This window comes from Homo sapiens, chromosome 13, assembly GCF_000001405.40.
Source record: "Homo sapiens chromosome 13, GRCh38.p14 Primary Assembly".
NCBI lineage: Eukaryota > Metazoa > Chordata > Mammalia > Primates > Hominidae > Homo > Homo sapiens.
Genome location: NC_000013.11, coordinates 97,649,377 through 97,675,835, shown reverse-complemented (window position 1 = coordinate 97,675,835; position 26,459 = coordinate 97,649,377). Strand labels below are relative to the sequence as shown.

Genomic DNA, 26,459 nt, shown 5'->3' with positions numbered 1-26,459 from the left:
TAATCATTCAATGCTAATGATCCCTAAGCAATTTCAAGAGAGATCACTTTGCTGGTTATAAAAATAATGATGCCAAATATGGATTATGACTCTTCCTTGTGTGACTCGAAAGCTTTTCACCCATGTGTTTGCAATGACTGCTTTAAGAGCCTCATAAAGTTATTCAGTGCTTTCCCAGTGATGTTTAGGATAACCTGAGTGAATTCTTTGTTCATTTGACGGTAGGAAGGTGTTTTTATAGCTCGCATGGTTCTTGACAACCAGACTTGTATTTGGACAATCAAAAATTGTGTGTTCTTTGCTTAGTGCCATCATGAAGAATTTCAGGAAGAGACGTGATTTGACCTTAGTGTTTTAAATGGGCATGGTCCTGCTGTCAAGTTCAGCAAAACAGCAGCTACTGCTGTCTGATGTACTCTGAAAGCCTGATCAGTCAGATCAGCCATTAGAGACCTGACCTCATGGACCCAGTTGCAGGGTTGGCTGGATGATGGGCTGATATGAGGACAACTGCTCCATCGTGCTCAGCGCTGCTGGGTTGTACTGCATGAGGAGCCAAGCTCAGTTTTATTTCCCTGCCTCTTTGCAAACAATTATTCTAGCAACATGCACTAGGCATACAGAAAATAATATGAAATGGATTCTGATGTTTTTTGTGCTTGGATTAGTTTGCTTCACTGTAGCCCTTGAACTCTTGAAACAGAAGTATCAAGAACCTGCTATTCTCTTAGTGGGCTCTGACCATGTGGTGCCCCAGAAGTTATCTCCAAATATACTTCAAAATATCAGGCAGAGGTTTCCTGTCTAAAGTTACCATGTGCCATATACCTGTTAAGGTGTCCACCAGCGGCATCTTTCTGATGATGACCCTGAATGTTCACAATGATGCTTGAGAGAGGGTAAAAGAGGCAAAATATGCTGGTGAATATATTGAGTGTCTTTTGGGAACTTTGTTCTTTTCACTGGATCATCTTTAGAGCCTTCAGTGAACTAGCTCACCTTCTACAATTTGTTTATTACATGCACATTAGCCACAACATCTGGCAGAATTGAGCCTAGTATACTTCCTTCTTTGTAACTGAAAGGATCCCAGAACAAAGTGCCATGTTTAGGGTCTGGATATGTGAACAATAGGCATTCTCAAGAGCACCCTCAGTTCTCTCCTGGGCATCAACAAGAAACCCTCGCAGTGAAGATTGAATGACATCAAGTGCAGTAGCTCCATGGACTTCATGACACTCAGGGGAACTTAGGCTTTTGTTTTGTTGGACTGTCTTTTGTTTTTCAGCGTGTGTGTTCATTGGAAATTCAGAGATAAGCCATTTGTGAACCAGGGATCTAGAAAACTTGTCATCAGATGACGCATCTATTTTAGGGGCTGCCGAGCTCCAGGTGGCCTGATTGCTTGTCTCAGGCTCCCCCCACCACTGGAACTCCATGCTTATAGTCTCAGCTAATGTGGAACACGGTGGGTGTCTATCCTGAAGGTGGGTTCCTTCTGGGATGCCACCTGTGCAACCAGGTGAGTCCCGTCTGGGTTTGATGTAAATTCTACAGTGTCACACAGTTTGGGTTATAATACAGGCTGTACTGGGAAGATGAAAAACTAACATAGGCCAACGGTTGTTGAGAGAGAGAAGGCACTGGTTTCCTGATTCCTTCATTATCCCAGGGACGTGTGTGAGGCCAGGGCACCATTCCAGTGTTTGGACCCCACACTCTAGGGGATTCCATTTTACACAGGGCATTTAAAAGAAAGTACCCATGTCAGTGGAGGAAAACACACTCATTATCTGGCAGCTGGCAGTCTGGATTTGGGCTGCCAACTGTAGGTAGGAGTTGTCTGGGAATGTTAGCTGCCCAGACCTCGAGACATTGGGGCTGAAGGAAGTTATACACCCCACTTCTAGAAGGAGGACATTACTTATCCTATTGGAAGCTAATTCCTTGCATGCAGCCCCATCTGCTGATTCCAGCTGACTTGTTCAGGCCACCCAGAGAGAGTTCCTAGGGCTACACTCAGATGATTCTGGTAATCACCCCACAGGGCCATATAACCATGGTTTAACAACAAAGAGTAGGACAGAAAGAAAAGAATTACTTTGGTCCCAGTTAAATATATCCATCTAGTTTTATGCCATTTTGACTACTAATTGAGCAGAAAAGAAACACTGAAGGAAAGAAAAATATTCAAGCACCCTAAGCAGACTTGTGATCACCTGGAATACTATGTAATAATTTTAGATCAATGGCTCTGCGAACATTTAACGAGCAACTACTATGTGTCTAACACTGTGCTAGGTATTGGGGTGACATAGCCTCTGATCTTAAGAACCCATGGTCCAGTATACCCCATAGGAATATAATAAATAGACTCCTCTTAAGAAGGATTATCGGTGGAGGAGCCAAGATGGCCGAATAGGCACAGCTCTGGTCTACAGCTCCCAGCGTGAGCGACGCAGAAGACGGGTGATTTCTGCATTTCCATCTGAGGTACCGGGTTCATCTCACTAGGGAGTGCCAGACAGTGGGCGCAGGCCAGTGTGTGCGCGCACCGTGCGCGAGCCGAAGCAGGGCGAGGCATTGACTCACCTGGGAAGCGCAAGGGGTCAGGGAGTTCCCTTTCCGAGTCAAAGAAAGGGGTGACGGACGCACCTGGAAAATCGGGTCACTCCCACCCGAATATTGCGCTTTTCAGACCGGCTTAAAAAACGGCGCACCACGAGACTATATCCCACACCTGGCTCAGAGGGTCCTACGCCCACGGAATCTCGCTGATTGCTAGCACAGCAGTCTGAGATCAAACTGCAAGGCGGCAACGAGGCTGGGGGAGGGGCGCCCGCCATTGCCCAGGCTTGCTTAGGTAAACAAAGCAGCCCGGAAGCTCCAACTGGGTGGAGCCCACCACAACTCAAGGAGGCCTGCCTGCCTCTGTAGGCTCCACCTCTGGGGGCAGGGCACAGACAAACAAAAAGACAGCAGTAACCTCTGCAGACTTAAGTGTCCCTGTCTGACAGCTTTGAAGAGAGCAGTGGTTCTCCCAGCACGCAGCTGGAGATCTGAGAACGGGCAGACTGCCTCCTCAAGTGGGTCCCTGACCCCTGACCCCCGAGCAGCCTAACTGGGAGGCACCCCCCAGCAGGGGCACACTGACACCTCACACGGCAGGGTATTCCAACAGACCTGCAGCTGAAGGTCCTGTCTGTTAGAAGGAAAACTAACAACCAGAAAGGACATCTACACCGAAAACCCATCTGTACATCACCATCATCAAAGACCAAAAGTAGATAAAACCACAAAGATGGGGAAAAAACAGAACAGAAAAACTGGAAACTCTAAAACGCAGAGCGCGTCTCCTCCTCCAAAGGAACGCAGTTCCTCACCAGCAACGGAACAAAGCTGGATGGAGAATGATTTTGACGAGCTGAGAGAAGAAGGCTTCAGACGATCAAATTACTCTGAGCTACGGGAGGACATTCAAACCAAAGGCAAAGAAGTTGAAAACTTTGAAAAAAATTTAGAAGAATGTATAACTAGAATAACCAATACAGAGAAGTGCTTAAAGGAGCTGATGGAGCTGAAAACCAAGGCTCGAGAACTACGTGAAGAATGCAGAAGCCTCAGGAGCCGATGCGATCAACTGGAAGAAAGGGTATCAGCAATGGAGATGAAATGAATGAAATGAAGCAAGAAGGGAAGTTTAGAGAAAAAAGAATAAAAAGAAATGAGCAAAGCCTCCAAGAAATATGGGACTATGTGAAAAGACCAAATCTACGTCTGATTGGTGTACCTGAAAGTGATGTGGAGAATGGAACCAAGTTGGAAAACACTCTGCAGGATATTATCCAGGAGAACTTCCCCAATCTAGCAAGGCAGGCCAACATTCAGATTCAGGAAATACAGAGAACGCCACAAAGATACTCCTCAAGAAGAGCAACTCCAAGACACATAATTGTCAGATTCACCAAAGTTGAAATGAAGGAAAAAATGTTAAGGGCAGCCAGAGAGAAAGGTCGGGTTACCCTCAAAGGAAAGCCCATCAGACTAACAGCGGATCTCTCGGCAGAAACCCTACAAGCCAGAAGAGAGTGGGGGCCAATATTCAACATTCTTAAAGAAAAGAATTTTCAACCCAGAATTTCATATCCAGCCAAACTAAGCTTCATAAGTGAAGGAGAAATAAAATACTTTATAGACAAGCAAATGCTGAGAGATTTTCTCACCACCAGGCCTGCCCTAAAAGAGCTCCTGAAGGAAGCGCTAAACATGGAAAGGAACAACCGGTACCAGCCGCTGCAAAATCATGCCAAAATGTAAAGACCATCAAGACTAGGAAGAAACTGCATCAACTAATGAGCAAAATCACCAGCTAACATCATAATGACAGGATCAAATTCACACATAACAATATTAACTTTAAATATAAATGGACTAAATTCTGCAATTAAAAGACACAGACTGGCAAGTTGGATAAAGAGTCAAGACCCATCAGTGTGCTGTATTCAGGAAACCCATCTCACGTGCAGAGACACACATAGGCTCAAAATAAAAGGATGGAGGAAGATCTACCAAGCCAATGGAAAACAAAAAAAAGGCAGGGGTTGCAATCCTAGTCTCTGATAAAACAGACTTTAAACCAACAAAGATCAAAAGAGACAAAGAAGGCCATTACATAATGGTAAAGGGATCAATTCAACAAGAGGAGCTAACTATCCTAAATATTTATGCACCCAATACAGGAGCACCCAGATTCATAAAGCAAGTCCTGAGTGACCTACAAAGAGACTTAGACTCCCACACATTAATAATGGGAGACTTTAACACCCCACTGTCAACATTAGACAGATCAACGAGACAGAAAGTCAACAAGGATACCCAGGAATTGAACTCAGCTCTGCACCAAGCGGACCTAATAGACATCTACAGAACTCTCCACCCCAAATCAACAGAATATACATTTTTTTCAGCACCACACCACACCTATTCCAAAATTGACCACATAGTTGGAAGTAAAGCTCTCCTCAGCAAATGTAAAAGAACAGAAATTATAACAAACTATCTCTCAGACCGCAGTGCAATCAAACTAGAACTCAGGATTAAGAATCTCACTCAAAGCCGCTCAACTACATGGAAACTGAACAACCTGCTCCTGAATGACTACTGGGTACATAACGAAATGAAGGCAGAAATAAAGATGTTCTTTGAAACCAACGAGAACAAAGACACCACATACCAGAATCTCTGGGACGCATTCAAAGCAGTGTGTAGAGGGAAATTTATAGCACTAAACGCCTACAAGAGAAAGCAGGAAAGATCCAAAATTGACACCCTAACATCACAATTAAAAGAACTAGAAAAGCAAGAGCAAACACATTCAAAAGCTGGCAGAAGGCAAGAAATAACTAAAATCAGAGCAGAACTGAAGGAAATAGAGACACAAAAAACCCTTCAAAAAATCAATGAATCCAGGAGCTGGTTTTTTGAAAGGATCAACAAAATTGATAGACCGCTAGCAAGACTAATAAAGAAAAAAAGAGAGAAGAATCAAATAGACACAATAAAAAATGATAAAGGGGATATCACCACTGATCCCACAGAAATACAAACTACCATCAGAGAATACTACAAACACGTCTACGCAAATAAACTAGAAAATCTAGAAGAAATGGATACATTCCTCGACGCATACACTCTCCCAAGACTAAACCAGGAAGAAGTTGAATCTCTGAATAGACCAATAACAGGCTCTGAAATTGTGGCAATAATCAATAGTTTACCAACCAAAAAGAGTCCAGGACCAGATGGATTCACAGCCGAATTCTACCAGAGGTACAAGGAGGAACTGGTACCATTCCTTCTGAAACTATTCCAATCAATAGAAAAAGAGGGAAACCTCCCTAACTCATTTTATGAGGCCAGCATCATTCTGATACCAAAGCCGGGCAGAGACACAACCAAAAAAGAGAATTTTAGACCAATATCCTTGATGAACATTGATGCAAAAATCCTCAATAAAATACTGGCAAACCGAATCCAGCAGCACATCAAAAAGCTTATCCACCATGATCAAGTGGGCTTCATCCCTGCGATGCAAGGCTGGTTCAATATACGCAAATCAATAAATGTAATCCAGCATATAAACAGAGCCAAAGACAAAAACCACAAGATTATCTCAATAGATGCAGAAAAAGCCTTTGACAAAATTCAACAGCCCTTCATGCTAAAAACTCTCAATAAATTAGGTATTGATGGGACGTATTTCAGAATAATAAGAGCTATCTATGACAAACCCACAGACAATATCATACTGAAAGGGCAAAAACTGGAAGCATTCCCTTTGAAAACTGGCACAAGACAGGGATGCCCTCTCTCACCGCTCCTATTCAACATAGTGTTGGAAGTTCTGGCCAGGGCAATCAGGCAGGAGAAGGAAATAAAGGGTATTCAATTAGGAAAAGAGGAAGTCAAATTGTCCCTGTTTGCAGACGACATGATTGTTTATCTAGAAAACCCCATCGTCTCAGCCCAAAATCTCCTTAAGCTGATAAGCAACTTCAGCAAAGTCTCAGGATACAAAATCAATGTACAAAAATCACAAGCATTCTTATACACCAATAACAGACAAACAGAGAGCCAAATCATGAGTCAACTCCCATTCACAATTGCTTCAAAGAGAATAAAATACCTAGGAATCCAACTTACAAGGGATGTGAAGGACCTCTTCAAGGAGAACTACAAACCACTGCTCAAGGAAATAAAAGAGGACACAAACAAATGGAAGAACATTCCATGCTCATGGGTAGGAAGAATCAATATCGTGAAAATGGCCATACTGCCCAAGGTAATTTACAGATTCAATGCCATCCCCATCAAGCTACCAATGACTTTCTTCACAGAATTGGAAAAAACTACTTTAAAGTTCATATGGAACCAAAAAAGAGCCCGCATCGCCAAGTCAATCCTAAGCCAAAAGAACAAAGCTGGAGGCATCACACTACCTGACTTCAAACTATACTACAAGGCTACAGTAACCAAAACAGCATGGTACTGGTACCAAAACAGAGATATAGATCAATGGAACAGAACAGAGCCCTCAGAAATAATGCCGCATATCTACAACTATCTGATCTTTGACAAACCTGAGAAAAACAAGCAATGGGGAAAGGATTCCCTATTTAATAAATGGTGCTGGGAAAACTGGCTAGCCATATGTAGAAAGCTGAAACTGGATCCCTTCCTTACACCTTATACAAAAATCAATTCAAGATGGATTAAAGATTTAAACGTTAGACCTAAAACCATAAAAACCCTAGAAGGAAACCTAGGCATTACCATTCAGGACATAGGCGTGGGCAAGGACTTCATGTCCAAAACACCAAAAGCAATGGCAACATAAGCCAAAATTGACAAATGGGATCTAATTAAACTAAAGAGCTTCTGCACAGCAAAAGAAACTACCATCAGAGTGAACAGGCAACCTACAACATGGGAGAAAATTTTCGCAACCTACTCATCTGACAAAGGGCTAATATCCAGAATCTACAATGAACTCGGAAACAAATTTACAAGAAAAAAACAAACAACCCCATCAAAAAGTGGGCGAAGGACATGAACAGACACTTCTCAAAAGAAGACATTTATGCAGCCAAAAAACACATGAAGAAATGCTCATCATCACTGGCCATCAGAGAAATGCAAATCAAAACCACTATGAGATATCATCTCACACCAGTTAGAATGGCAATCATTAAAAAGTCAGGAAACAACAGGTGCTGGAGAGGATGTGGAGAAATAGGAACACTTTTACACTGTTGGTGGGACTGTAAACTAGTTCAACCATTGTGGAAGTCAGTGTGGCGATTCCTCAGGGATCTAGAACTAGAAATACCATTTGACCCAGGCATCCCATTATTGGGTATATACCCAAAGGACTATAAATCATGCTGCTATAAAGACACATGCACACGTATGTTTGTTGCGGCACTATTCACAATAGCAAAGGCTTGGAACCAACCCAAATGTCCAACAATGATAGACTGGATTAAGAAAATGTGGCACATATACACCATGGAATACTATGCAGCCATAAAAAATGATGAGTTCATGTCCTTTGTAGGGACATGGATGAAATTGGAAACCATCATTCTCAGTAAACTATCGCAAGAACAAAAAACCAAACACCGCATATTCTCACTCATAGGTGGGAATTGAACAATGAGATCACATGGACACAGGAAGGGGAATATCACACTCTGGGGACTGTGGTGGGGTCGGGGGAGGGGGGAGGGATAGCATTGGGAGATATACCTAATGCTAGATGACACGTTAGTGGGTGCAGCGCACCAGCATGGCACATGTATACATATGTAACTAACCTGCACAATGTGCACATGTACCCTAAAACTTAGAGTATAATAAAAAAAAAAACATTAAAAAAAAAAAAAAAGGAATATAATAAATATTCATGACTGATGATTGATGATGCCGAATTACATGGGTTGAATCTTAGGGTAAGAGTGATAAAAGAAAAAAGAAATAATGCATTAGGTGCAACTATTTTCTCTTTGAGTGCAGCTGGGAAACTCTGCTTGCATTAACATCGTGGTAAAATCTAATTGTTGGTAACAGCCACAGGCAGTGGTGTGCTGCAGCCAGTTTGCACCAGCCCACAAGAGCCAATTGTTAGATTTTCAGCAACGTTGTGAGCCAGTTGGTAAACATAGCCAATATAAAAATTAAATTATATAAACTTACAATTAAATAAATTATACTAAAGACAAAGACAGTAATATTTAAAATTCATCTCTTCTTAAACATTTTAGTGCATTTTACTTTTATCCGTGCTCTTAAGGTAATCCACATCGCCTGCATCTGAGTGGTGGAAATGTCATATAATGCTGTGCTACTGCACATCTCTTCTCAACTCTGCATTCAGTGATGGCACCATTGTAGTTTGAAATTGGCTGTCATGTAGTATCTACACCATGGAAATCAGCAGACACCACAAATTAGGGCTTGATTTACTACCAAAGCCGAAAAAAATTTAGTTTAACGAGTACAATTAATACAAGGGTAAAAAAATAGTTTGACAGAAGATCACATATCAGGTTTAATGACAGTAGATTTATTAGAGAAAAACTGGATTGGAATAAAATTCCACTTGTCAAGTCACAGTCGAATTGCAGTTCTATGTTGGCTGTGGTGTGATGGTTAATTTTATGTGTCAGCTTGACTGGGCCATGGGATGCCCAGATAGCTGGTAAAACATTACTTCCGGGTATGTCAGCGAGGGTGTTACTGGAAGAGATTGGCATTTGAAACAGTAGACTGAGAGAGAAGATGGCCCTTCCTCTGTGGGTGGGCCTCATCTGATCTGTTGAGGATTGGAACAGAACAAAAAGGTAGAGGAAAGCTGGAGGAACTCTGCCTGACTGCCTCAGCTGGGACATTGATCTTCTCCTGCCCTCACTGCTTCTGGGTCTCAGGCCTTCAGACTTGGACTGGAATCTACACCATCAACTCTTTGACTTCCAGGCCTTCAAATGACACCACCATCTTTCCTGGGTCTTCAGCTTGCAGGTGGCAGATCATGGGACCTCTCAGCCTCCATAATCATGTGAGCCACTGCATTATAATGAGTCCGTCTATCTATCTATCTATCTATCTATCTATCTATCTATCTATCTATCTATCTAATCTATCTATCTATCATCTATCTCTATCATCTTTTTATCCATCTAGAGTTTCTATCTAGGTAGACAGATAGCTCGGAGTATCTAGATAGATAGAGAAGTAATATCCTATTAGTTCTCTTTCTCTGGAGAGCCCTAATACATAAGGATTTGGCAAAAATCAATAGAAACATTCTGTGAGAATAAATTAGCTCTATGAAGTTGACAATAAATAATATTTTTTATAAATTGTACACTACACATCCTTTATATTATTGAAATTTATGACAAACATATATATTTACACGTATTTATTTTGGAGTGCCAGTTTACTGTACATGTATTTACTGTAATGCCACTGAGTATAAGCCCATCATTGAAGCTTCTAGCAGGAGACAGGCTGTTAAGACAGAGGTGGTTTCCTCAAATGAGATGGAGAGAAGGAGACAGTCACTGCTGGCCTGGAAGGAAAGCCCTCTTCACTCTTGTTCTCCAGGTCCTTTCTCCTTAGCAGCTCACCAGAGCTCCCTGACATCCACCTCTCAGGGTGTAGAGACTGTAAAGGTGTCTTTCTTTTGATTGTGAAGACAAAATGGGATTAGAAACACTTTATTTTTAGTGCAAATGATTGTGGAAAATCATTTGAAGTCTTCATATTCTTTTCTCATAAGTATGCTGTATTAGTTTACTAGGGCTGCAGTAACAAAGTACTGTGAATTACACGGCTTAAACCACAGAAATATATTTACACAGTTCTGGAGGCTGGAAGTCCAAGGTCAGGCTGTCAGCAGGGTTGGTTCCTTCTAAGGCTCTGAGGAAGAATCTGTTTCCTGCTTCTCCTCTAGCTTCTGGTGGTTTTATGGCAATCTTTGGTGTTCCTTGGCATCACCCAGATCCCTGCCTTCATCTTCACATAGGTGAAAGAGGAGTTGATCCCATCTTGTGTCATCCCTGTCCAAATTTCCTGTTTTACAAGGACACGATTAGATTAGGTTAGGGGTCACGCTAATGACCACATCATAACTTGATCATATGCAAAGATCCTATTTCCGAATAACGTCACATTCACAGGTACTGGGGGTTAGGACTTCAATATGTTTTTGCTGGACACACTTCAACCCATAGCATTTGCTCAATGAACAATGAAAATAAAGCTGAACTCCAAGGGATAGGAAATTGGTGCTTGGAGTCAAAAGGTGGTTTGATGAAATTACAAATTCTTGTCTAGCTAAAGATGACCATATGGAGCAGAGGCTGCTGGTGATCCCCTAAATCCAATTCTTGACTTTTTGCATCATAGTGCATTATTAGCTGTACCACAGCCACCAGAACAAAGATTTGATTTCCAAGTCCCCCTTGCAGCTAACTGCAGTCATGTGATAGCTTCTAGTACATTTAAGAGGTGTGGTTTGCCTCCTTCTTACCTATTCAATCCTATTGCTTGGAATACAGTTGTGATAGTTGATGAGCCATCTTGGATGATTTGGATGGAGGCCACACCCTGGGAATGGCAGAGAAGAAAGCTGGAAGGCACTTGGGTTCCCCAAGGAGCTTGTGAAAGAGCTGCCACACCCACCCCAGATGCTCCCCCTCTGTACTTTAACATGAATGAGAAGCAACATTCCCTCTTGATTAAACCCTGTTTATTTTGGGTCTTTCTCACTTTTTCACAAATATATCATATATTTTGAATTTGTTCTACTTCACCAAGGATATTCAGGGGCTCTCACATAGCTACAATTATGTGCCTATTTGTCTTTTCTCTCCTTACATCTTAAGGGGGAGCATGGTTTAAAGGAGTGGTTTTTAACCAGAGCGATTTTGCATCCCCTGGGTAACATCTGACACTGTCTAGAGATATATTCGATTGTCACACTTGGGGGAGAGGTTCTACTGGTGTGTAGTGGGTAGAGGTCAGGATGCTGCTAAACATCCTACTATGCACAGGATAGGTCCCCACGACAAAGAATGATCTGGCCCCAAACTGTCAATAATGCAGAGGTTGAGAAAACCCAGTTTAAAGGGAAAAGCATAGACTTTGGAACCAAGCTGGCGTGGGTTCAAATCCTGGCTCTGCTAGTTATCAATGTGACCTTGGTTATATGGGTCTTTACACTAGTGCAATCAGGTTACCAATATCTACTGTTTAGGGCTGTTTGGGAGGTAGGTGAGATCATCCTTAGAGAAGGTACACGTCAGGCACTCAATAAATGGTAGTTTTCATTCCTCGAAAGGATTTCTTCTTGAGTACACTTCTTGTACACCAGGGAAGGGGAGGCCTTGCCTGCAGTTTAAATACTCAGGAAAATCAATTATCATCACACACACAGGCTTAGTCGTGTCCATGCCCCTCAGCATTGCCTGTCGAGATCCCCAATCTGATTTTTAGTCCCTCCTGCAGCCTCAGTTCTTGCCTGTTTCAGTCTGCATGGTGGACTCCAGCCTCTCCAATCTGCACATACCTCCCCCATGCCTGAGCACACCCATTACCCTCTCTGCCTGAAGCACCCTCCACACCTTTATTGGCAGATCAACTCCTCACTCTGCAAGGCTTGGTGGCAGAGGCACCTTTTCTGGAGGTGTTTCTGCACTGTGGAGTGAGCTAAACCCCTTGGCTCTGAGCATTCAGAGCCTTCTCTACTTAGTTCCATCTTGCAAGAATCCATTTTCTCAGCTGTTAAAGACAGAGAAGGCAGGGCACTGTGGCTCATGCCTGTAACCCCAGCACTTTGGGAGGCTGAGGTGGGCAGATTACATGAGGTCAAGAGTTTGAGACCAGCCTGGCCAACATGGTGAAACCCCATCTCTACTAATAATCCAAAAATTAGCTGGGGTTGGCATGTGCCTGTAATCCCAGTTACTCGGGAGGCTGAGGCACCAGAATCGCTTGACCCAGGAGACAGAGATTGTAATGAGCAGAGATCGCACCACCGCACTACAGCCTGGGCAACAGAGTAAAACTGTATCTCAAAACAAAACAAAAACAAAAAACAGAGAAAAGTTCTTGCCCTGGAGTCACTTTCAGGGTGAACCTTGAGAGTCACTCTAGAGTGAATGTAAATGTGGTCATGGATAGAAAAGTCTGGCACATATTGCTAACACGCAAAACCCTTGTTGAGCTTAGTGTCATGTTCTCCGTAAGACTCAGCATGTTATTTGAATGCTGGGGCTATGCCCTTTACTTCTGTATTCCCAGCACCCAGTAAATTACTCAGGTAAATTTAAAAAACTTTGTTAAAGGTTAATTTAGTTGGAATTTTCTCTATTTTCTATTTTAACAAGAAAGATATAAGATTTCTCATATCTTTCTCGTTCTCAGACAATTCCAAGGGGTTTCTATGTCTTATCAATTATAACTTCCTCATATTTTTCTTTCCTGTCATCTCTTCTCCTGCCTGTAATTTTGCACTTTTTTTTTCCCACCTGAACTATGAGAATGGGCTTTTAACCTATAGCTCTGCTTCTGGGCCTCTCTCCAATCCAACCAGACTGTTGGACTTATCTTTTAAAAATACTACCTGATCATTTCATCCCTTGGTTAAAACCTTTCAAAACTGATCTTTTTCCTACAAGATAATATCCAGGGTTCTTGGAATGGAATGCAATGTTCTTCATGACCTGGCCCCAGTTTTCCCTAAACCCCATCTCCTGTAACTTGCTTAGATGAAGTTGAGGCTTCAACCTGCCAAATCAGTAAATTACCCCAATTTACTATGCTGTGATATGACTGCTTCAGAGTCAAATATTCGGCTTTCTGGAATGTTCTTCCTGGCAACTCTTCATTCTTTGAGATTCAGGATGAGTTTCTACTTCTACAAAATTTCAGATCTACCCAAGCAGTGATGAACTCATCACTTTCTTCCATGGAGAACAAATGGATTTGGAACTTTCTTCTGAGATAGCATTCATCACATGGGCTTGCAATGATTTGTTTGCATGTTTCTTTCACCAGCTAGACTGAGTGGTCCAGCTTTATTTGCTTTGGCAAACTAATTGTTTCCCGTGGGGCCTGGGACCTGTAGGTCTGAATAAGTGCTAAATGAATGAGTATAAATCTGCTGATTTACTAAAAAATAACTGGGTTAAACTGTGAAGTCTGGTTGCAATATCAACTTACTAGCTAGAATTTGCTGAGGAGTTATCATTTGTCTATCTTCACTGAAAACTCTAAGACCATTGTTTTCACCACTTTACAGAGGGGCAGACCAAGACACAGATAGACTAACTTGCTAAATAGTACAGAATTAGTGCTCATGGTGCTTGAACTCAAGTCTGACTCCAAATCTGCCTGAAGCACCCTCCACACCTTTATTGGCAGGTCAACTCCTCCTCACTCTGCAAGGCTTGGTGGCAGAGGCACCTATTCTGGAGGTGTTGCAGATGGGCAGACAAAGACACAGATAGACTAACTTGCCAAATAGTACAGAATTAGTACTCATGTGTTCTTAATCACTCCTCGCAACACTGTAAGATCTGAAGATAAAAACAATATTGGGAATAAAAGATTTAGGGCTAGAAACTATTACAAGGCAAGCATTTGTGTAATTAATTGATCTCTGAGGGCTTAATTTACAATATTAACACATTTTATTCACTCCAAAAATGAAACATGTGTTTAGAAAAGCCAATTATTAACAAAATCAAATGGAAAGGGGTGTAAGTTTTCTCCTGGAGCTTACCAAATGCACCAGTGTGGGTGCCCCTGGGAACTGGTGAAAACCGATGACTTACCATCATAAATGGAGATTGAGGTCCCCCCGCGCAGGTGGGGTTTGTCCTGCCTCAGTTGACTGAGACACAAGATGCATGGTAAAGGTTTTGGCTGTCATTTTCTATCAGGACAGTGGGCAAAAGAACTGTCAGAGTCACAACAACCCCACCTTCACCGTCGTTATCCTTGTGGTCTTCCTAACAGCCCTGTGAGGAGAGAAAGACAGGGATTCTATCTCCATTTCACAGATTAGAAAACAGAGGCCCAGAAAAGTTACATGAAGCCATCTATGCTCCATCCTCCACTATTTTGGCATTTACCATGACGTTTATCCATATGAAAGCATTTTCTTTCAAGACGGCTTCCCGGAATTTTAGCAAGAATTTGAGAGCCAAGTATAAGAGGAGCTAGTCCCTCTGCCTTAGAAGGGAAACATGCCCAATTTATTTTTGGTTTGACATTCTACTGCCGGGCGTTTCCTCTTCGCTGGTGTTGTTTGTAGTCAGGCCCCAGCTTTTAACATGCTGGTCTGGGGATGCACCTTAAGACTGACCCAGAGTAAGGACATTTTGATGCTGACATTTCCTGTCTCAATTTCCTTCCCTGCTTCCTTATGATTAATGGTCAGGCCTCCTCCCACCTGCGTTCCTGCCTTCCAGCCAGAGATGCACTATCCGACAGGAAGAGAAACTGTTTGCCTGCAGTTTTGTAACTAAAAATAACAATAAGAAAAATGTTCAATTAATCTCTTGCTTCCCCAGCCTGCCTTGCACCGGCTCTCTGGGTTGTGCTCACATGTTAGGTCGGGCAAGGTGCTGGCCAGTTGCAGAGTCTTTTTAAACTGCTAAGGAAAGCGGAGGCTGGAGGATTCCAAGCCAGGTCACAACGGGTAGCAGGCAGGACCTCAGGCCTGCTTTACTTTAAAAATGATCTCCTGTTCACTGAAAGATTACTGTGTGCCAAACACTATGCTAAGCATGCCATCTACGTGATGTCATTTAATCCTCATAGATCAACCCAATGAGATAGTTTGCATCACCTACATTTTAAAAATAATAAACAGAATCAGAGAGGTTAAGTAAGGTGCCCAAGGTACACAGCTATTAGAGACAGGATTTAAGCCCAGGGTTCTCTTGATGCATTTTCGTGAGCATCTGATTTGGTTTTTCATTTTAATAATTATAATTATTAAAATTGTAAACACTGAATTAACAAAACATTTTTAAGTCTTTAGTATTCACTGGGAAAGATGTCAAGTTCAGGGGGAAAACAGAAGTAAGAATAATTCCTGCCTTCAAGAAGTTTTCCATTAAGTGAAACAAGTCTGTTGTCTCTCACCTCTCATATTGAAGAAATATGGGAGTTGTTTGAAATAAAATCATATTTGTCCCACTCAATCTCATCATGATATAGTTGCTCTTCTATTTTGGATCCACTAGCAGACATTTGATATGTTTAGGATGAGTGTTTTTTTTCTCAACCATTAAAAAAATGTAATTCAAGTCTCAAGGCAATGATTACTCCTTTTCTATTGTGTTTTAACAAGTAGCACAGAGGGGTCAGTAGACCACTGGTAATAGACAGAACCTGTATTATACCCAACAACAAAAGGATGCCGGACCACCCCTGCTGCATGTCAGTAGGTGGCAGTCTGGCTTTGCACACACTGTGTGCCTGGGCTCAAGTGGGTTTCACAAATCCACGTGCCGTGGAAATACCCATCACCAACCTTTTCAGAGCTTTCTGGCCCTAAAAGCAATGCATTATCCAAACCTGAAGACATAAATGTTGTGATTGAGGCATTTCGAGAAACTCTTATTAGCTTGTCTTTGTTGAACTTTGGGAAGAATCTTATGGGGACTCAGATCCATAGCTGCTGTGTTTTACCATCAACTCCCCCTTGTCCGTGGATGTCGTGCCTGCTTAGCACTCTCTCAGGTCTCACCCACCTGCGCCAGGTCCCTGAAATGGGCTGCCACTGCTCACCTGAATGGCTGCCTTCTTGTATAGCTAACTCAGAGAATTCAAATAGCTATGCCTTCCTCCAGGAATTCTCAATCTCCCAAGATATCATCAGTTGTGATGAAATGATTGCAGGACTTTAATATAACCCTGTCAGTGAAGACACCAACAATATGATATTTGTGATAATAATGGCTGACAAATTTACCTCTGAATTATCTATAAAAAAAACTTGTTTGCCAAGAAAACAACCCCTAAAGATGAGATTATGGGAATCCTGTTGACTTAAAGGGAGCCAAAAATCATATATTCAATCATACATTGCATGAATTATACCATTGTCTAGATGAAGTGGTATCAAAGTACATTCCATTCGTAGAATCAAGTTCTGAAGAAACTCTGGAAATTTTGAGTTAGCGGTAATCTTGAGTCACTCCATTTACTAGAAAGAAGAAGGCAGCCTTTCTTCAGACATTTAAATCATATTATGGACTTTACACTTATAGTAGTCCAGTTTCTTTAAATTAATAGATTGACTAAATTAGTTTTACTCTATTTGGAGATCTAAGTAATTTGGCTAGTTTGACTAAATGAGTTTTACTCTGTTTTTGAGCTTCATATAGAAGCAAGAAATTGACATAATTATCTAATGACTTTCCTCATCACAAGATATTGGGTCAATTTCCTCTTTTTCTTTTTCAGGAAATACCTATTGGTGAGTGCCAAATAAAGCTCCTTAGGAAGCATCAGGAGCTCTTTAAATAAGCTGCTGGAAGCCACTTTTCATTTCTTTGCTGACAGAGCTGAGTGCCTATATCCTGGAGTTAAACTTGGGCCAGAAGGACTTTGTCCCATCTGCTGGTGTGACAGAAAGGGTCCCAGGAGGGCATCTGCCCTGAAGTCCCTCCTCCATGATGCCAGGCATCTGAAATTCCACTTTTAGAGATGACCCCGATAGACTCTCAGTCTTTAAAGATTCACTCATACTAATGCAAATATTTCTGCAGGCCATAAATTAAAGCCTTGGATCAGTTACCACTCACTTTCCCACTGAGAAAGCCACCCAGGAGCTCTGTCAAGAATGTGCCCAGGCAGACACTTTCAGAGGGGAGGCATGTGTGGGGGTCCTGGGGTGGAGGAAGGGCACTGAGAGCAGAGATGACAGTAACCAGACTCCATCCATGACCCCCACGGCCCTCTAGGACCTGGGCCTGCCCACCTGTCCAACCTCAGCTCCCACCATTCACATCTTGGCTTCTTGGCCTTTCTCTTTGTGGACACACCATCCTCTTCCCTGCCTTAGGGCATCTATGGTGGCTACTTCTGGAATATTCTTCTCCAAGACCTTCTCATGACTGGTTCACCTTATTATTAATGTCTCCAATAGCTCCAATATTTCTGTCTCTGAGAGGCCCGCATTAATCACCAGCCTCAAGTCATCCTTCTTCCGTGTCTACCCCGATCACTCTCTATTATGCTCTCCTGGATTGCTTTATTCCTAGTGCTTCCATGTTGAAATTATCTTCTTTATTCGGTTGACTACTTGGCTATTTACTGTGTTTCCTTACTGACCTTTGTTTTATTATGTGTCTTTTGTTAAAAGATTATGTTTTGCCTAATGCTGGACCCTTTTATCCACATCCTCTTGGAATTACCTACCATTGATGTGTTAGTCTGTTCTCACATTGCTATAGATAAATACCTGAGGCTGGGTAATTTATTTAGAAAAGAGGTTTAATTGGCTCATGATTCTGCAGACCGTGCAGGAAGCATAGTGGCTTCTTCTTCTGAGAAGGTGATATGGTTTTTCTGTGTCCCCACCCAAATCTCATCTTGAATTGTAATCCCCATAATTCCCATGTGTCATGGGAGGGAGCCGATGGGAAGTAATTTAATCATGGGGGTGGCTACCCTCATGCTGTTCTCATGATAATGAGTGAGTTCTCACAAGATCTGATGGTTTCATAAGGGGCTTTTACCCCTTTTGCTCTGCACATCTTCTTGCTGCTGTCATTTGAAGAAGGATGTGTTTGCTTCCCCTTCTGCCATGATTGTAAGTTTCCTGAGGCCTCCCCAGTCATGTGGAACTGTGAGTCAATTAAGCCTCTTTCCTTATTAAATTACCCAGTCTCGGGTACGTCTTTATGAGCAGCATGAGAACTGACTAATACAGGAGGCCTCAGGAAACTTACAATAATGGTGGAAGGCAAAGGGGATGCAGGCACATCTCACATGGCCAGAGCAGGAGGAAAAGAGAGAGGGAGAAGGTGCCACCCACTGTTAAACAACCAGACCTTATGAGAACTCTCTCACTATCACTAGAGTAGCACTGAGGGGATGTTGCTAAACCATTCACGAGAACTCCCACCTGTGATCCAATACCTCCCACCAGACCCCACCTCCAACATTAGGGATTACAATTCGACATGAGATTTGGGCAGGGACACAGACCCAAACCATGTCAATTGATTAGATACTCAATATTTTTTATAGTATGAATAAATGAAGTAAAGAATCAAATATAAACTTATTACTTCAAGGCATGAGCTTGTCTGTTGGAATCAGTAACATGAGGCCATCAAGAACAGGGAAGGAGCTGAGATTTTATTTTACCTGCAAGCTAATGAGCTAGTCTGCCACAATTTCAGATATACTGCAAGAAGATAGGAGATTCCTGTCATAGCAAGAGCCAGAGCATCAGGAGTTGCTGCAGTTTAGGCTCTAAGCCTGAATTTCCATAGGAAAACATAGAGAGGGCAACTTGAGTGGGTACATTATAGGAGAAGAACTCTGAGCTTAGGAAACCCAAACAGTTTATAACAGGAAGTAAGCCCGCCTGACTCCTTTCCTGGAGGGAGACATTATCTTTAATTATACTGGACAGTAGACAAACCTGCTCTTTGCCCCAGAGGAAGACACAATCTCTATATTCAAGCATATTCTTTTTAAGGGTGTTTGATTGTATAAAAACATCTTTGAAAAGACAGTCCACTCTGTTGGCAAGATATACAGAAATGTGAGAGACCCATGGAGAAGTGCCTCCTAACAAAGCCCGTCTTCCTGGTCTATCTTTAATCATTCCTTTATCCCATCTCTCCTTCCTACCCCAAGAAAAGCTCAAACAATGTTTGTTTAATGGAACACTTACTGCATCCTACCTCACATTTCTTTCTTTAGGGAGATAACTTGTCAATAAATGGACTCATTCTTACTGGAATGGCTGTGTGAGTAGCCCTGTTTCTAGAACTGTGGAGCTTTTCTTCCCAAACCAGGATACCTGTTTGTTAGTAGGTTCCTGGTGGAGTGCCATAGGGAAAAAAACCCCTGGGGTTAAAAACGGAACATCTCCCTGGATCACAATTTTTACTAGAAAAAAATGGAGAAAAGCCTATTAACTTTTATTAAAATACATGTAAATATATTATGCAGTGAGTGCACATTCTCAAGGATTTTAAAGATAAAGAAAAGATTTCTTTGGGCAGTACTGCTACCTCTCCCCTGTCCCAGAGCATAGATGAACTTTGTCTTCCTGCTGTAGTGGAAAAATTTTAAGCTGTTTTATAGAACAGTGTTTTGCAAACTATGGATCATAACCTGGTAATGGGTTGTAAAATCATCCAGGTGAGTCTGGCCAACAATTAATAGTAATTTAAAATATTATAGAATGGACAATATCAGAGGGCATCTGTGATGGTTAATATTAAGTGTCAACTTGATTGGACTGAAGGATGCAAAGTATTGGGTGCGTCTGTGAGGGTGTTGCCAAAGGAGATGAACATTTGAGTCAGTGGACTGGGAGAGGCAGACCCACCCTCAATTTGAGTGGGCAGCATCTAGTCAATTGCCAGCACAGCTAGAATAAAGGAGGCCTGAGAAGGTGGGAGAAACTGACTTGCTGAGTCTTCTGGCCTTCATCTCTCTCCCATGCTGGATGCTTTCTGCCCTCGAACATCAGACTCCAGGTTGTTCAGTTTTTGGACTCTTGGACTTATACCAGTGGTTTGCCAGGGGCTCTCGGGCCTTTGGCCACAGACTGGAGGCTGCACTGTTGGCTTCCCTACTTTTGAGATTTTGGGACTCGGACTGGCTTCCTTGCTCCTCAGCTTGCAGACGGCCTACTGTGGGACTTCACCTTCTGACGGTGTGAGTCAATACTCCTTAATGAACTCCCCTTCATATATACATCTATATTATTAGTTCTGTCCCTCTAGATAACCCTGACTAATAAAGACAAGTATTATTTTATTAAACATTTATTTCAGATTGTGGGTGTGAATGAGTTGGGCTGCAATGTTAAATGTATTTCTCACTTTGAGTTGCAGTCATAAAAATTTAAAATATACTACTCTAGAGGATGTTACAAAATCTAGAAATTATTGTTCGTAAATATCTTAAAATCTATTAGGGAATTCAGACATGGGAACAAAATTAATACCAAATGGTGATGAAGACTTCAGAACCAGACTCTCAAATGTCTAGATGAAAAAGCTGAAAACATAGCAAACATGATGGATGATAGAATAAAAATGTCAAATAATCTCAGATTAAATTGGAGAACCATGAATGGAAAGGTAAATGATCAATGTGAAGTTCTGATTTTATATTTGAAAAAAAGGGATCCACCAAATTAGGAAACTACTGTTTCTAGGTCAAGCTGGATTATGGTTCTTGTGTATTTATTGCACATTTCGTCACATCTGTGAAACTCTCTTCAGTGTGGGGAGTTTGTTTGCAGAGGCATTTATACACCTGGTAGAGGGCATCTGGAAGAAGATGACCTGCAATGCGGAATTTTTACTTGGACAAGAGAACACTAGGGGAATAAAGGAAACAACATTTATTGATCAGGTACTCTATTTCAGGAAGCTTACACAACTGTCTTTATATATTTGGAAAATTTCAGCTGAAAGAGAGAGGGAGTAGAGATTGTGTCTGGCTTTAGACAGCTGCCAAAGCTATGGCGTTATAATAGCTTCCATTCATCGACTGGCTACAGGTCACCAGGCATTGTAACTGGCGCATAGCGATATTTCCTAGACCAACAACCACTTATCAAGCCCTGACTACGTGCCAGATATGATGCAAAGCATTTTACTTGGACTATTTTATTTAATCTTCCCAATAATCTTTTGAGGAAGGTACTAATTTTGTTTCCATTTGTAAATGGGGAAAGTGGGTCTCTGAGAGATAGTCCCTTGCTTGGCATTGCACTGTTGGAGTAACCTGGGGATTTGCTATTGTCAATAAAATAGAGAAGGGACCCTGTTGCAAACTGTCACTTTAAAACTTCTAAATTATTTCCTAATTCACTGAGACTTGGTTACAGGCTAACTTTGAAGACCCCAATGACATCTGTTTTTCCTTGCGGAGCCCGAGATTCTGCATCTCAAGATGGTTCTCGGGGAATGAGTTGGAAAGCCGCTGAGGAGTGAGCAGTGATGCTCCGGCTGGTTGGCTTCACTCGGAGGCGAGCTTTTCTTGCTGCAGTGTTCTCTTCCAGCTCTCCCTGGCTCTCATGCCCTGGAGCACTTTTGGCTCCTTACCAGGCATCTTCTTTAAACACAAAGCACAATTTTGCAATTTCATCATCATTTTCTGAAGCCAGGGTGGTGCGTAGTGATGGTTTCCAACCGTTAAAGGTTTGATTCTGCATCTGTGTACTGGTCTCCAGTGCCGCCAACCCAGATGGAGGGCTGGTCCTGAGCCTTCACTTTGAACTTGAGTGCAATTGGGGGCTTGCAGCTTAATGACTTCAAGGAAAAATGACAACAGATAAAAGGTCCCTTGAGTGGACGGAGGTGAAGGGGAAAGCCCTGAGCCCTTTGCAGAGGAGCACGTGGCTGAGGCTGAAGCAGGAGCAGCCTCTGGGTGTTGGCTTCCTGTCCTGCGAGCCTACGCTGCTGTGTCAGGGACATGCGCTAAGTCACAGCCACCTCTCTGGGAGCGTTTCTCGACCATCAAAGGCTTCTGTGGACCCCAACTGCCTCAGAATTATTTTGGGGTTTAGTGCTTCTGTCAGGAATTTCTCCCACCTAAACAAATGCTCCTTCCTACTCCCCTTTTTCTCTCTCATCAGTCATTTGGTATCATGTAGTGAAGCTCTGACCTGGCAAATTTGAGATAAGTTTAATGTTTTTCTTATGTGATTCAGTGACAATTTCATGTCTGGATCTTTGGGGCTTCTCCTTCTGCCCTTTTCGGGCTGAAATGGGCTTGGCAATGTTGGGGAATGGGTAGGTAGTTGTGTACAGAAGCACTTCTCAAATTTCGATATGCTTGCAAGCCACCTGGGGGTTTGTTAAAAATGCAAATTCTGATTCAGTAGGTTTGGGTGGGCACCTGAGATTCAGCATTTTCAAAAAGCTCCCAGATGATTCTGATGCTACGAGTCCAAGGACCACACTTTATGGGTTTTAACTTTGCCTGAACATGAGAACCACCATGGGGAATTAAAAAATTACCAATGCCCATGCTCCATTCCAGACCCAATAACTCAGAGTTTACAGGAGTGGGATCCAGACATAGGTAATTTGTGTGTGTGTGTAACATTCTTCAGGTAGTTTTGTTTTGGAACCAGAGTTGATAACCATTAGATTTGGATTAGCGGGAAAAAGTATTAAATTCAGAGACATAAGCCAAAGTTCTATCCTAATTATACTACTTCTGTCAGGCCTCTGAGCCCAAGCTAAGCCATCATATCCCCTGTGACCTGCACGTACACATCCAGATGGCCGGTTCCTGCCTTAACTGATGACATTCCACCACAAAAGAAGTGAAAATGGCCTGTTCCTGCCTTAACTGATGACATTACCTTGTGAAATTCCTTTTCCTGGCTCATCCTGGCTCAAAAGCTCCCCCACTGAGCACCTTGTTACCCCCACCCCTGCCCACCAGAGAACACCCCCCTTTGACTGCAATTTTCCTTTACCTACCCAAATCTTATAAAACAGCCCCACACCTATCTCCCTTCGCTGACTGTCTTTTCAGACTCAGCCCGCCTGCACCCAGGTGATTAAAAAGCTTTATTGCTCACACAAAGCCTGTTTGGTGGTCTCTTCACATGGACACGAGTGAAAACTTCCTTAGCATGTATTAGAAAGATGCACTTACTTGCACTAGTTATAACATATAGTAGTAATGGTGTTTTCCTCCACTCAGCCATTTAGTTTTTACCATTTTACAGAACAATCCGTGATGGCTCTCCATTCCAGGTAACATACACTCTCGGCTCCTTGTTTGGCATTAGAAGTCCTCCATATTTCGTCCATCTGTGGCCATTTCCTGCTTGCTATAGTTTGGTTTGTTTGTCCCCTCCAAATCCCATGCTGAAATTTGATCCTCAGTGTTGGGGATGAGGCTTAACAGGAGGTGTTTTCGTTCTGGGGGTAGATCCCTCATGAATAGATTAATGTCCTCCCTGAGACTGGGGGATTGCAGTCAGTGAGTGTTGCTCTATTAGTTCCTGCAAGAGCTGGTTGTTAAAAAGAGCCTGGTTGCCTCCTTGCCCTCTCTCTTGCTTTCTCTCTCAGCATGTGGTCTGCACACGCTGGCTCCTCTTCCATTCCACCATGAGTGGAAGCCATCTGAGGCCCTCATCAAAAGCAGATGCTGGTGCCATGCTGCTTGTACACCCTGCAGAACTGTGAACCAAATAAACTTCTTTTCTTTATAAGTTACCTGGCCTCAGGTATTCCTTTATAGCAACACAAATGGACTAAGACACTACTGCACATGAATTTTGGCCCCATCTTATCCCTGGGCACACTATGAGCTATCCAATCACCTGCTTTGGCTTAAACTAGTCCATCTGCTCTGCAATGTCCTTCTACTCTGCCTTCTTCTCCGATTCCTCATAATATTTGGTCACAGCCATCCTTCATGGCCTACTTCCAATTTCAGTTATTCTAAGAAACCTTCCCTTACACCCTTTCTAGTGAGTATGAATCCATGTTTTATCATACCTTCTCTCTCTCTTGTATAATTTATCAGTCTACTTTTGTCAGTTATTTTTATGAATATCCTTTTCCTGCTTCAGATTGTGACCTTCTAGAGGACAAAGACCACCTCTCATTTCTCTTTCTATCCCTCCTGGTGTTATAGGAGTTACTAAGAAATTATTTTAGGCAGATAGAGAGGAAAAGGGGTCCTTTTCATTTCTTTTAAAGCAGCCCCAGAAACGTGTTTCTTGTCTAGCAGGAAAGCCCTGGCTCCTGGAGCCAGTGGCAAGCTTTGATATGCAAATGACAGTCATTAGAAACTGGGTCCACCCAAACATGGCGATTCCTGCCCTCTTCTTCTTGCCCTTGCCCCCACATGTGCCTGGCAACATGGCCACCCCCACATAGCCCCACGTGTGTAGAGCATCATGGCACACTGCATTTGCATATTAAAAGGCTAGGGTGGGATGGCCAATTTTTTCATGGGCTACGTGAGTGACAAGCCTGGTCAAACCAAACCCCTGAGCCCTATGCAAATCAAACACCACAACCTCCAGCCTCCTCATATAAGCAGCCACTTTTCCGCCACACAGGGGGTTTTCTCTTTGTTCGAATCCCCCCTCCCTCTGTCTCTGTATAGGGGAGCTGAGAACAGTGTCTGTAAGAGATAGATGATGGCCAGGGCTTTGGGTTCAGAGGCCTCCTCAGTCATAGCCAGACAGTGCATCCAGCATGGAGTGACTCTTTTAATCTGAAGTAAATTCAAAAAATTCTGCACAGTCCAAGTCATCTTTGGTTCAAAGGCAGGCTATGTCTCTCTGACAGAGAACAGGAGAAGCTTGGGTTTGACTTCATCTTGGAAGTTTCACCTGGCATCTCAAACTGGGAATTCTTGAACTGGGAATGACTCAGGATGGGGTCGTAGTTCTTGAGGATGCTTTGTGCTGGAGGGAGGGGAAAGGAGCTAATGTGTATTGATCACCAACCATCTATTAGGCAGAATATTTTATCTGTATGATATCATTGACTGTGAAATGAATATTATTGTTCCTGTTTTAAGGATAAAGAAAGTGAAGATCAGCTAGATTACTTAACTGCCTGAGGCCACAGAGTTAATACATGACATAGCCCAGGTTTGCACTAAACTCTGACTGACTCCAAAACCAATACTACCTGTTTTGAAGGAGAGAATTTACATCTGATTGTCCCCCATCTCTAGCTGAGATTCCCTTCTCATGAAGATAAAAGACAATCCATACTGCTCCTGTGTCTTCTTGACAAGGACTGGGTTAATATCTTCGGGGACTCTCCTCCTCCTATTCATTCTAGATTGTAAACTCAGTGAAGGCAGGGATGGAGTATTTAACCATTGCCGCTGACGCTTGGGATCCACTGGGGATTGGTTTTAGGAGCCCCCACCACCTCAAAATACTAAAATCCAAGTCCTTCACATAAAGTGGCATCATGAGGATCCATGGATGTGAGACCCATGGATACAGAGGACCAACTGCATATCTCGCTCTCCAGTAGGAGTTAGAATAGACCAAAGATTAATTCTACAGGCTTTGTTATCTGGCGATGGCTGGGGTTTTAGCCTGCCACTCAATAACTTGGTAATCTTGTCAAACTACCTGAATTTCCTGAGCCTTGATTTCTTTTTACATGGTGGATTGTGGTGAACATTAAGTAGAGGAAAGTACTTAGCTGAGTTCCTCACACATAATAGACATGCAATAAATTTTAGATAATCCAAACTCTTCCAAATATTCTCTAGTAGGGTGACTCTGGACCTAAATAGACAAACACATTTTGTACCTTTCTGTAATTCAACTTAATTCTAATATAGATCCCCTTTCTTCTGGGAAGAGTGGAAATACTCAGTGTGAGTCTTTCCTTCCCTTTCCAGGTGGGTATATAGGTGGGCTTAAGTAGTGCAAGGCACGATAGGAAGGGGAACATCTGCTCCTTCATGGCATCAGTCCACAGAAACATCGATTATTCATTGGGTCTTCTGTTGATTCCTGTGCAGATCCATTCCCTTTCAAGAGCCTTGCTTCTTTCTTGGGTCTCAATCTGGGCCAAGAGATCAGTTTCTTCTACCACTGGGTCTCACCAATCCTCTCGTGGGTTTTGCTGTCCCCATGAGACCCTAACCAGGAGGCAGGACCCAAGAACTTC

At 42.5% G+C, this 26,459-nt stretch overlaps 1 long non-coding RNA gene across 2 annotated transcripts in view, besides 1 other annotated feature; it reads left to right on the top strand.

Annotated features, from left to right (window-relative positions):
- Nucleotides 1-26,459, top strand: part of LOC105370324 (uncharacterized) — a 179,291-nt gene that overhangs the window by 35,209 nt on the left and 117,623 nt on the right. The window lies entirely within an intron of this gene.
- Nucleotides 2,050-2,657: an enhancer, noted in NCBI's record as "OCT4-H3K27ac-H3K4me1 hESC enhancer chr13:98325433-98326040 (GRCh37/hg19 assembly coordinates)". NCBI's record gives its function as "activates a minimal SCP1, AML or CMV promoter by ChIP-STARR-seq in primed H9 embryonic stem cells {active_cell/tissue: H9 hESC(primed)}" and the evidence as "EXISTENCE:reporter gene assay evidence [ECO:0000049][PMID:30033119]".